An 11,788-nucleotide genomic window follows, 5' to 3' on the forward strand; every position below is an offset into this window, starting at 1 on the left:
TGTGAGAATAAAGGATTCTGGTGATCAGGACCATTAAGGCCAGAATCTCTGTGTCAGCTGCACTAACCTTCTCTCCTTTCCCCAGGTTGGTTTATAAGTGGTTCCTGCTAATCTATAAAATCAGCTATGCCACTGGCATTGTTGGCTACATGGCTGTCATGTTTACCCTCTTTGGTCTTAACTTATTATTCAAGTGAGTACCCTTTGTTTTTGTTTTTGCTGGAGTTTGGGGAGGAGTGACTGTTGAGATGTACCTCTTGTTGCAAGTCGTGGTTATTAACAGGAGGGACGTAATATCCAGGATAGGAGACTTGGGTGCTGTGGGGGGATGGGAGAAGACAGGCTCTCCATGATTTGTTCTGGCAGAAAGCAAGGAATGTCTGAATATATACAAAGTCAGAGTCCTAAATCATATTTTCCAAGGCTTTATATTTTAGTGGAAAAGTCTAGTAACCAAAGTAAGCATAATAATTATCATAACCTGCTATCCATAATTCTATCACCTTAACAGAGCTGTTTTTCTCGTCAGTGTGTACTGTTCATTTGCAGCATCCACTCTGCATGAATGGCCTTACGTTCAACTAGGCCAGGGGTTGGCAAACTGTGCCCTCTGTGCCAAATCAGCCCACAACCTGTTATTATAAAATGAAGTTTTACTGGAACATAGTCATGCCCATTCATTTATATATTGCCTGTGGCTGTTTTTCCACTAAAACAGCAGAGTTGAATAGTTGTGATAAAGACCATATGGGCTACAAAACCTAAAATATTTACCATCTGGCCCTTTATAGGAAAAGTTTGCTGACTCTTGGGCTAGACCGTCTACCTACATGACCGTGGTTGGCTACAGCTAGCAACAAATTGACTTAGAAGAATACAAAATAAATAATAGAGCAGAGTGGTGTCTGCAAGTCTTCACAGTAGACTCAGAGCTTAGGTGTGAGGGAATGAGATGACACAGATGGGTGTGGAAGCCACCTGGCCTAGGAGCCCCATTCCCCCAGGAACACATCCAGTTTCAAGAATGTCGCAGTCCAGATGTGTTGTACTAATCACAGGTCATAAGCAGTGTTGCCTGTAATATAGCTGACATTCGACAAGATTTCTAAGGAAACAGTTCTGGAAAGTTAACCTGTGGATGTTAAGTCCTGCTTCATTGTTGGGCACTTAGGTTGTTTTCAATTTAGTATTATCCCAGATAACGCTGCTCTGTTGCTTCCTAAGGGTGCATTCCTAGGGATGGAATTTTGGCTGTTGCTTCAGTTGTCATAAGCCTTCCAAAAGATCTTTATTAGCTTACAGGTCCTCCCACCCCGAATTGAGTCAGATGCCAAGAAATCCTGAGCTCAGAGACTGGAGCATGCAGTGAGTCAATGAGGCAGATGAGGGTGGAAATAATGCTTTCCTGGATGAAATACTGGTGGCTGTGGGCTGTGGATCAAGAGGAGCCCTAAGCCTACGACAGTGCACTGAAGCTAGAGATCTAGGATTCAAATTTAAGATAATGAATGGGATGATCACTGGCCTCTTCCCTGAGCCTAGTTATATTGTAGGCAGGAGTCTCTGAAAGGAGTTTATTTTAGGACAAGTAAAAATAAATCCTGGCCAGGTGTGGTGGCTCTCACTTGTAATCCCAGCTATTTGGAAGGCTGAGGCAGGAGGACTGCTTGAGGCCAGGAGTTCAAGACCAAGCTGGGCAACATAGTGAGACTCTCAACTCTTAAAAAAAAAAAAAAAGAAAGAAAGAAAGAAAATTAGCTGGGTGTAGCAGTGTGCACCTGTATCCCCAGCTACTCAGGAGGCTGAGGTGGGAGAATTGCTTGAGCCCAGAAGTTCAAGGCTGCAGTGAGCTATGATTGTGCCACTGCACTCCAGCTCAGGTGACAAAGGGAGACCCCCATCTCGAAAAAAATAAAAATAAATAAATCCTATTTTATATAGTGAGAGTGCACTCATGAAATTCTTTCTTCTAGGGGTAGTACAGGCTGAAGGAATAAACAGGCTCCTGAAGGGTTTAGAGGAATTCATCACTGTAGAGTCAAACACATCTTGTCAAAGAAAACAGATATCTCCTGGTAACTTTCTAACCTGTATGGTTAAAAAATAAAATAAAAATCAAGATTCTGCATTATGGGATTCTGCATTATGGTTTTTTGTTTGTTTGTTTGTTTGTTTGTTTGTTTTGAGATGGAGTCTTGCTTTGTCGCCTAGGCTAGAGTGCAGTGGCTCACTGCAACCTCCACCTCCCGAGTAGTGGGGTCAAATGATTCTCCTGCCTCAGCCTCCTGAATAGCTGGGACTACAGGCATGAGCCACCACACCCGGCTAATTTTTATATTTTTAGTAAGGATGGGGTTTCACCATGCTGGCGAGGCTGGTTTCGAACTCCTGACCTCAGGTGATCCACCTGCCTTGGCCTCCCATAAGTGTTAGGATTACAGGTGTGAGCCACCACGCCTGGCCTCTGCATTAAGTTTTAAAGATAATTCTTCTATAATTACAGTTTCTTTTTACTTGCCTGAACTCTACAATGAGGAAAACAGAATTGAGAATCTTGATCATTTTTGTGCTACTGATCAAATTAAGTGGTGTAAGATCAATGATTTCTAGTGAGTTAAATATTCAGGGTTCATAAGCAAATGCAGCTTTGTATATAAATATAATTTATAACTAAGCACATACATACGGTTCTTTGTACAAATATTTTAACAGATAATTTTCTATAACAAAGATTTATAGACTCAAGGTTGCAAATTATCGGTCCTTGGAATTATTAAAACAAACCTTCTGATGTTATAGGCAAGATCTTTATCCTTCTTGTTAAATAGACTTGGACCAAAATTTAACTTTGATGATATGATACAGATTATTTATATTTGTAGTTTATAATTTTATAGTAACTGCTATATATTAATAAATATTTACTAATTTTATCTTTTTTTCTTAAACCTGTGTTTGACAAGCTGTTTCTGTAAAGGTCCAAATAGTAAATATTTTAGGTCTTATGGGACAATAGGCCAAATCTAGGATATCATGTAGGTACTTATATAACAAGAGAAAAAACTCCTACCCTGTCCCACCCTCTTTGCCTGGGGAAGGGGCCAGGTCTCAGGTAGTGGGCATGCTTTGTGCTCTGTTGTCATAAGCTGAGACAATCTCAGAAAGAGGGGCATGTGGCCACCGGAGTAATTTTCAGTCTCTGCACCAGTGACACCCAGATTCTGGCATGCCCTTTCCTCCTTATGGATGGCTCAGCTGTTTCAACTTGAGTGGCTAGCTGGAAGAGAGACAGCTCAGCAAGGCAGCTCACTTAGTGTCCAGAAGTTACCAACAGTGGAGTCCCCACTATGTAGGTCCCGATGAGCATAGGTCCTGGGTAGCTGCAAGTCATTGTCACCAGTTAGGGGAGGCAAGGACTAAGAGCAGAGTGAGGAAAAGGGGTAGGAGGGGATACTGTAGCTTGGTCTTCACAGCCTACAGTGCTAGCTAGCCTCCTCAAGAGGTGTTCATGGGCCATATAAAAATAGACAGCAGACTGGATTTGGTCATAGTTTGCCCGCACTTGCTCTAGCCTTTGGGCCTTCTCGCTTTGGGCCCTGCCTTGTGTGTCCCAGAGTAGTAATCCATAGAAGATATGTCTCAGGGTGGGTCTTTCTAGCTCTAATGCTTCCCTTGCAGGATCAAACCAGAAGATGCCATGGACTTTGGCATCTCCCTTCTCTTCTATGGCCTCTACTATGGAGTTCTGGAACGGGACTTTGCAGAAATGTGTGCAGACTACATGGCATCTACCATAGGGGTAAGTTCATCCGGGTTCTTAAATACTGCTTCTTGACACCTCCAAATTGCTCAAGTTGATGTCACTTGTTTAATGGAAGAGAAAGGCACTAGGGTGAGATAAGCCACATAAAATCCTTCAAGATGTGCATATGCATGGACATTCCTTCCTTAAAGTTTGGAAAGCAACACAGCCATAAAAAAAGATAAAACCATGTGCGTTGCAGCAACATGCCAGCTGGAGGCCTTTATCATAAGCCAGTTAATGCAGGAACAGAAAACCAAATACTGCATGTTCTTACTTATAAGTGGGAACTAAACATTGGATATTCATGGACATAAAGATGGCAACAGTAGGCACTGGGGACTACAAGAGGAGGAGGGAGTGGGGACAACGGTTGAAAAACTATCTGTTAGGTAACTGTGCTCATTACATGGGCAACAGGATCATTCGCACCCCAGACCTCAGTATCACGCAGTATGCCCATGTAACAAACCTGCACATGTACCCTCTGAATCTAAAATAAAAGTTGAAATTATTAAAAAAAAAATTAGCCAGATCTCAGATGTACCCTATAATTTTTCTCTTTAGGGCCATTATAGGAAAGAGCCACTTTATCCAGCAGGAAGTTAACATTCATTCAGTAGATACTTTTTAATGCCTGCTATGTGTCTAGACACATAGCTATATGCCAGAATTACAAAAGTGTACAAAAATAAACATGGTTTTTGCCCAGATAAACTTTACTCTTAGGTGGGAGAGATGGCTATTACAGTAACAAACACAGATAAAAATAAAATTACAACTTTAATAAGCATTATGTAGGAAAGGTTCATGATGCTGTAAACACATGTAGTAGTGTCATTTGACCTAGTCTTGGGGCTCAAAGATGGCTTCCTTGAAGAAGTGACTATGGAGCTGACTTGAACAATGAATAGCAGTTAAGTGGATGAAGTGAGAACCAGGCAGAGGAAAGAGCATTCATAAGAGTCCTGTCACGGGAGAAAGTGTGGGTGTTTTTGAGGAACTAAGACCATTGCGGTTGTATGGCCAAGAAGTGCCTGGAGAAGTAGTGACTAGACTAGAAAAAAGCCTGTGGGCCAAATTAAAGATTTTGATTTTTATGCTAAAAATCCTGGGAGGGGCCGGGCACAGTGGCTCACTTTGGGAGGCTGAGGCAGGCAGATTGCTTGAGCCCAGGAGTTCAAGACCAGCCTGAGCACCATAGTGAGACCCCATCTCTACAAAAAAATGAGACAAAAAAAAAAAAAACCTAGCCGGGCGTGGTGGCACATGCCTGTAGTCCCAGCTACTTTGGAGACCAAGGTGGGAAGTCACTTGAGCCTTGCAGTGAGCTTGTTCATGCCACCAAACTCCAGCCTGGGCAACAGAGCAAGACGTTGTCTCTAAATAAGTAAAAATTCACAAAATGTATAATAATCATGCAAAGGCACAACAATAAATGATGGGGCACAAAAGTGCTTAGTCCATATTGGTAATTGTTTTTGAACTGCACAGTGGTAGGAGTTGCTCCTTACAATTTTTACTTTGTGAACTCTTATTCCTTGATTTAACCCACAGCCGCTACAACAACAGCCACTGTCACTTACTGCTTTACCAAAAATTGGGGAAGCTTTCATACTTGCTTTGTTAATCTTTAACTGTATGTGTAAAGCTACACATTTCATTTCAACATTTAATATTAAAAGTGTTTTGAGTCTTTACTTAAGAGACAATTTGGTGTCTCTTAAATAGAGGTTTAGTGATGTCTTTGTGACAGAAATATGACACAGGAACTGAACTCTTGTTTCTATCAATTAGCCTGTGGTAAAATTGGTTTTGTTATATGTCGTTTCATTTAAAGTCACAGTTTCCAAGAAACTGTCAGTGAAGTGAGGACATACTGTATTTGAGAAGTATTTTGGACTTAGATATAGTTTGGTTCTGAAGACTGAAGGGAAAAATACAAAGGAAATATAGGTTTCAAAGCTGAGATTTCTGATTCGGCAACTGCTTGGATGGTAGTACCTTTCACTGAGATAGGAAATGCTGCAAGAGCAGCAGGTGGACATCACGGAGAGATGCTTAAATATGGGTAAATTAACAGCCAATCTGAGAAACGCAAGTAAATATTTCTATTTTTTTTTTCAGAATGGAAATATATCTTTATTGTTTTGCTGTTTATAAAAGTAGTATGTTCTCTTTGTAATTATTTAAACAACACAGAAGTGCTCCCTGTCTCAGTGTCATCCCCCAAGACCCCACCCCAAGAAGGAATATTTCCATCACCTTGGGTAACTTTAATCTAGTACCGTTTAAGGCCAGGGACTTTGTCCCTCAGTATCATGGGAATATTCTAATTTTTTCTCTACTGGATCAAATTGAAAACAGTACATTGGATCACTTTATTGACAGTTTATTAGGTTCCTTTTTGAACAACTGTCTTGTGCTTTACCTTCATTTCCCTCTTACCTATTTGTGTAGACATTGGATCTTCCTTTAACCAGTTTACTCCCCAGAAGAGATTTCTAGACCATGTCACCATTTTGACCATTTTGAAGTATACAATTCATGCATTAATTACATTTGCAGTGTTCTGCAACATTTTCACTGTCTAATTCCAAAATTTTTCTTCATCCCAAACAGAAACTCTGCCCATTAAGCAGTAACTCATTACCCCTTCCCACAGCCCTGGTTTACCTCTAATATACTTTCCATCTCTGTGAACATGCCTATTGTAGATATTTCATGTAAATGGAATCATACAATATTTGTCCCTTTGGCTTTTTTCACTTAGCGTAGTGTTTTCAGAGTTCATCCATGTATAGAATGTATCATTCCTTTATATGGCTGAATAGTATTCCATTGTGTGTGACACCGCATTTGGTTTATTCATTCATCTGTGGATAGGCACTTGAGTTGTTTCCACTTTTTGGCTACTGTGAGTAACGCTGTGAGCACTGGCGTTTAAGTGTGTTTAGTCCCTAGTTTCATATCTTTTGGGTTTATACCGAGAATGGAATTGCTTGGTCATTTGGTAATTTTATGTTTAACTTTTTGAGGACATGCCAAACTCTTTGCTTTCTTAATTATGATAATGCTTAAGTGAATATCTGTATTCATGAAGCTTCTTTGACACTTCCTCTTTTTTTTTTTTTTTTTGAGATGGAGTCTCGGTCTGTTGCCCAGGCTGGAGTGCAGTGGTGCGATCTCGGCTCACTGCAAGCTCTGCCTCCCGGGTTCACGCCATTCTCCTGCCTCAGCCTCCTGAGTAGCTGGGACTACAGGCGCCCCCCACCATGCCTGGCTAATTTTTTGTATTTTTAGTAGAGACGGGGTTTCACTGTGTTAGTTAGGATGCTCTCGATCTCCTGACCTCGTGATCCGCCCTCCTTGGCCTCCCAAAGTGCTGGGGTTACAGGCGTCAGCCACCGCGCCCAGCCTCCTCTTATTTCTTTAAATTCCTTGAAGTGAAATTAATGGGTCAAAAGGTGCAACAATTTGAGATACCATGCTAAATCCTATCTGAAAGGCTTGAACCCCTTTTGCTGCTGCCACAAATGTCTGAGAATGCCCTTGTCACCAAACCAACATGGCACTTAATATTTCACTGTTTTAAATGTTGGAGAATATTGTTGTCCATTTCTGGTGGAACCATAGTCTGGCGACAGAATGGCTTGCCTGACACAGCTTTTGATCACCAGCCCCAAGTCCTTCTCCCTCCCCTTCCCCTTATCCTTTGGTGCTGATCCAGCCCAGTTTATAGGTTCTGTTACATCTAACTTCCCAACTGTCTCTAGTCTGGTCACTTCTCCCCATCTGCCCAGCAAAGATGAGGTCGATTTGACTTGTAAAAGATTACCTTTTCTAAACAGTTTAAAAAAAAAAAGATGTCCTCTAACTCTGGGCCTCCCGCTGCCACTGTGCCTCTTCTCTAGAAGGCCTGAGGTCTCTGTGGAGCTTCCTACTTTGGCTGCTTCTCACATCTTTTCCTATCTTTCCTTCCTGCTATTCTCCTTCAGTTCTACAGCGAGTCGGGCATGCCTACCAAACATCTTTCAGACAGTGTGTGTGCTGTGTGTGGGCAGCAGATCTTTGTGGACGTCAGTGAAGAGGGGATCATTGAGAACACGTATAGGCTGTCCTGCAATCATGTGTATCCTGCCTCGAGCTCCTGGGCCACATCTCTCCTGCAATCTGCACACTGTAGTGAGAGAGAGAAAGAGGGTGGTCATGACCCTAGGCATGCTGTCCAGACCCTTGAGTGTAGGAGAGCCACAAGAGGGCCACCTTCCCTACCCTTTCCCACAGATCAGAGCCACTCTTAGGTAAACAGTGGTTACAACCTGGCTGGGTCTGAGAGGAACCTGAGGCTGCAGCTAGTGAGGCTGTGCTAGCAGACCTGAGATCTGACCAGTCACAGGGGAAGAGGACCCTCTAATGGGATCCCTCAGTTTAGCATCATCCTCTGTTCTGAATAACACTTGTAATATTTATCATGTATTTACCCAGCTCCCATTCTCTGCCTATGTTGGGAAAGCCATGTATTGTCTCCATTTTGCCCCATAACAGTCTTGTGAGATAGGGATCATTATCCTTACTTCACATGTGAGGAAACAGGTTCAGACACAGGGACTTGCCCAACATTACAGAGCTGATAAAGAGCGAAGGCAGGATTTGAACCTTTCAAAGACTGTCTGGGGCTGGAGTGCCGCCCTGGCTCTCACCATTTCCCTTGACCAGCGGTGCTCAGCTTCCACGAGTTCTGCATCCGTGGCTGGTGCATCGTGGGAAAGAAGCAAACGTGTCCCTACTGCAAAGAGAAGGTAGACCTCAAGAGGATGTTCAGCAATCCGTATCCTTTATTGGGGTCGTTGTTGGGAGTGGGCTGTGGGAAGAAAGTACTGGCCAGTGTGACCTGCATTTGGGTCCTCCTGGGGCCCTCACTTCTGCCCCCAACCAGAACATGTCAAACCATGGTGGGAAGCTGAGCTGCTAGTCCTGCCCCCATGATACAACCCCAGTTTCCCTATTCTAGGATTATTGCCTATTCTCAGCCTCCTTGCAGCCATTGTCACGGATAGATAGACTTGTGTCAGCCTCAGGCTGTGTTATCTTACACTGGCAGTTCCTTCTTAGAGAAGGTGTTACAGGAGGCCCTCCCTGCATGTTAGTCATGGGGAACTAGGATTTATCTCTATACCTCTCTCAGGGCTGCCCTGCCTCCAGTACCAGTCCCCTCTATCTGCCTCCCACCTTCTCTGCATTCAGCTCTTTACCCCAACAGACAGGCTGTGAGGAGGAAGAGGAGGGGGAGGGCAAAGTTGGGAGGGCTGCCTGAGTAGGAAGTGAGGCTGGGCCCTTCCAGAAAGCAGCCTCCATTCCTCTAGGCTGTGGAGCAGCTGGAAAGTGGGGCAGACCCAGGGAGCCCCACCACCCATGCTAGATCACTCCTGGCAGCTCTTGCACAGAGTCTCTTTTCTTTAACACACTGACAGCTGGGAGAGGCCTCACGTCATGTATGGGCAACTGCTGGACTGGCTTCGATACTTGGTAGCCTGGCAGCCTGTCATCATTGGTGTAGTCCAAGGCATCAACTACATCCTGGGCCTGGAATAGTGATGAAGAGCATCAGTGGAAAACCCACCCCACACGCCATGGACCTCAGGGCACTCTCCTCCCTGCCCACAAAGACCTCCTGGGTGGGAAAGACTCAAAGGGGTGCTTGGGCCACTCAGGACCCCTCTGGCTGTGTCGGACTGGGGAGGGATATGATGGAGAGCCAGCCAGTGGGGCTGTCAGCAGTGGGGGGCTTTTTAAAAGAAAACTATTTTGATGAATATATTTAAAAAACCTTTTTTTATTGTGGAGCATAGGAATTGCCCCCCTCCAGGCTTCACCCTCCCTGCCTAAGCAGGGTGGGGGCAGAGCCATGACATTTTTGGTTTAAAGGAGCCTTCTCATCTCTGGCCGAGAACACTGCTGGGCTCCCAGGTAGCTGAAGGCCTCAGCCCACCCACTCCCTTCTTCCCTGTGTGGGGCTCAAGCCTGGTGCACTTAGTATAGAAGAGCTAACGTACTCAGGCTTGTGCCACGGGTGAGCACTGAGGCCCCAGGTGTCCTCCCTCCCCCACTGTCTGGGACACAGGACAGGTGTTGCGTCTGACTCTGTCTCCCCCTGTCCAAGAGCTATAGGCTGGTTGAGGCAAGTGGAACCTTATCAGTGACTTGGCCAACAAGGGAAGCCTTGGGGCCTCAGAATTCATTGAAGATTTGTTTTGGGACAACTGGAAGAATCAGCACCATGGATACTCGCCCGTGGGCAGGGCTGTGGTCAGCCAAGAATAGAGGTCATATAGTTGGGCCATGGGGCAATTGTTGGCAGCCATGACTGACGGCCCCTTGTGCAAGCTCATTCTTCAGTGGATCCTTCAGTGGAGTGGTGACACGTGCCAGCGGTCACTCTGCCACATCACTTCCTTCTTGAAAGCCTAAGAGTGCGTATGCGTGTGTGTGTGTGTGTGTGTGTGTACGTGAGGCAGAAGAATATGACAGATGTCAGCTTCTCCCTGTGTCAGATGATATGTCCTTGAAGCTGGCAGGGGATTCCCAGTCCAGGGAATATCCCTACATGATTTTTGTCATTCATGGGTCCTCCCTGGGCCTGACAACGGGAGTGGTGGGTGGGTGAGAACAGGTTCTGAGAGGGGGCTTCTAGGAAGGCCCCAGCCCTAGTCCTAGGCGACTTGAATAAAGTGGGAGGTCAAACATGGGCCTTCGGCATTGGGTTTCTAGGGAATATGGCTCAGTAGGGCCTGCCCCTTCAAGGGCAGCAAGAACGAAGCAGGATGTTGTCACTCCCGTCTGAATAAAGCTCCATGAGCTGGGTTGGAAAGCTGAACATTTATCTTGCTTTCTTCTTCCCACCTCTTTCCCTGGGGTCCCCAGGGGTGTCTTGCCTTTGTTAACCCCCATCGGAGACCTGAGGGTCTGGGGGTGGTTGGGCCTGCCTTTCTGCTGTTCCCAGCTGTTCCCCTGCTGACATCCCTAGGAGTGGTGGAATGCCAGGCTCCTGTCCTGTGGCCTGGGGGCCTGGGGCATCATTGGGCCTGCCTTCAGACTGAGGTTGCTCTATGTTCTCACTGCCTGAGGACAGTGTCCCGCCACCACCTGCCTTCCTGAGGACCACACTCAGGCTCGGCTTCTCTTCCCCAGCTGTGGCTTCCCATGGTACCCTGCTGCTTATGCCACCTGTGGGGCTGTTCCCCTCCTCAGAGAGGGGAATGGGGCTGGTCAGAGGACCTAGGGATCACCCTTCCTTTTACTTTTTCCCCCCACCCCCCTGTCAGGCTCAGGTGAGAAGCCGAGGCCAGGCTGTCCAAAGCTCTTTTCATGTGTAACAGTTCTGAGTCCCTTGACCTCCCCCCTTGGCCTGACTCTGGTCTCGGTTCCACTAAGACAGAGTCCTGTCATCTTTCCCTACCATCCCCCACTGGACTGTCTCTCTCAGAAACCCCAGGCAGCCTTGCCTCCTGACCTAACTCCTGGAGATGCTGGTGTTCTTGGGAGGAATTTCTCCTGCATCTTACATGCTAGAAGCCCCTGGGGCAGGAGGTAGGGGGAGGAATTGAGAGGAGGAAAAACATGAACTAGACACCTAGAGAAGAAGGATGTGACTTGTAGTATCCTATGTCTAAATTAGGAATATGAATCTGGTTTTTCTACAAGAAGTTTGAGATCACAGCTGACTGTGTTCCTGATGCATCCACCAAACCCAGTTCCATCTGTGGGCCTCCCTGGCTCTGTCACCAGCCGTTGCACCCTCCCAATCACAGGAGTCACAAACCTCAGACATGCAGCTCCTGTCCACACTTAATATATGCATGCATTGGATCACCCAGCCCTGGTCTTTCTGCCTCCATGGATAACTGCATGACCCTGAGAGAAAACCTCCTTAGATTTAGCATCCTAGGTTCCTCACACGCCTCACCCTGAATCCTGGCCCTCCCG

General features: G+C 45.6%; 1 protein-coding gene across 8 annotated transcripts in view, besides 2 other annotated features; it reads left to right on the plus strand.

Annotated features, from left to right (window-relative positions):
* Nucleotides 1-10,679, plus strand: part of RNF121 (ring finger protein 121) — a 68,552-nt gene extending 57,873 nt beyond the window's left edge. For 4 of the 8 annotated variants that reach the window (NR_024148.2, NR_024147.2, NM_018320.5 and 1 more), the window contains 5 exons: nucleotides 86-193; nucleotides 3,679-3,799; nucleotides 7,801-7,934; nucleotides 8,532-8,633; nucleotides 9,277-10,679. Coding sequence is in view for 6 of the 8 variants with exons in the window: in NM_018320.5 (NP_060790.2) it covers nucleotides 86-193; nucleotides 3,679-3,799; nucleotides 7,801-7,934; nucleotides 8,532-8,633; nucleotides 9,277-9,397 (586 nt within the window). In the remaining 2 variants the exon portion in view is untranslated. Of the gene's footprint in view, nucleotides 1-85; nucleotides 194-3,678; nucleotides 3,800-7,800; nucleotides 7,935-8,521; nucleotides 8,634-9,276 lie in introns of all 8 variants that reach the window. The other 4 variants (XM_006718629.2, XM_006718632.2, XM_047427233.1 and 1 more) reach the window with 2 other exon arrangements.
* Nucleotides 4,589-4,638: an enhancer, noted in NCBI's record as "active region_5174". NCBI's record gives its function as "activates an Ori minimal core promoter by ATAC-STARR-seq in GM12878 lymphoblastoid cells {active_cell/tissue: GM12878}" and the evidence as "EXISTENCE:reporter gene assay evidence [ECO:0000049][PMID:35858748]".
* Nucleotides 4,819-4,878: an enhancer, noted in NCBI's record as "active region_5175". NCBI's record gives its function as "activates an Ori minimal core promoter by ATAC-STARR-seq in GM12878 lymphoblastoid cells {active_cell/tissue: GM12878}" and the evidence as "EXISTENCE:reporter gene assay evidence [ECO:0000049][PMID:35858748]".

The sequence above is a fragment of the Homo sapiens genome, chromosome 11 (assembly GCF_000001405.40).
Source record: "Homo sapiens chromosome 11, GRCh38.p14 Primary Assembly".
Classification (NCBI taxonomy): domain Eukaryota; kingdom Metazoa; phylum Chordata; class Mammalia; order Primates; family Hominidae; genus Homo; species Homo sapiens.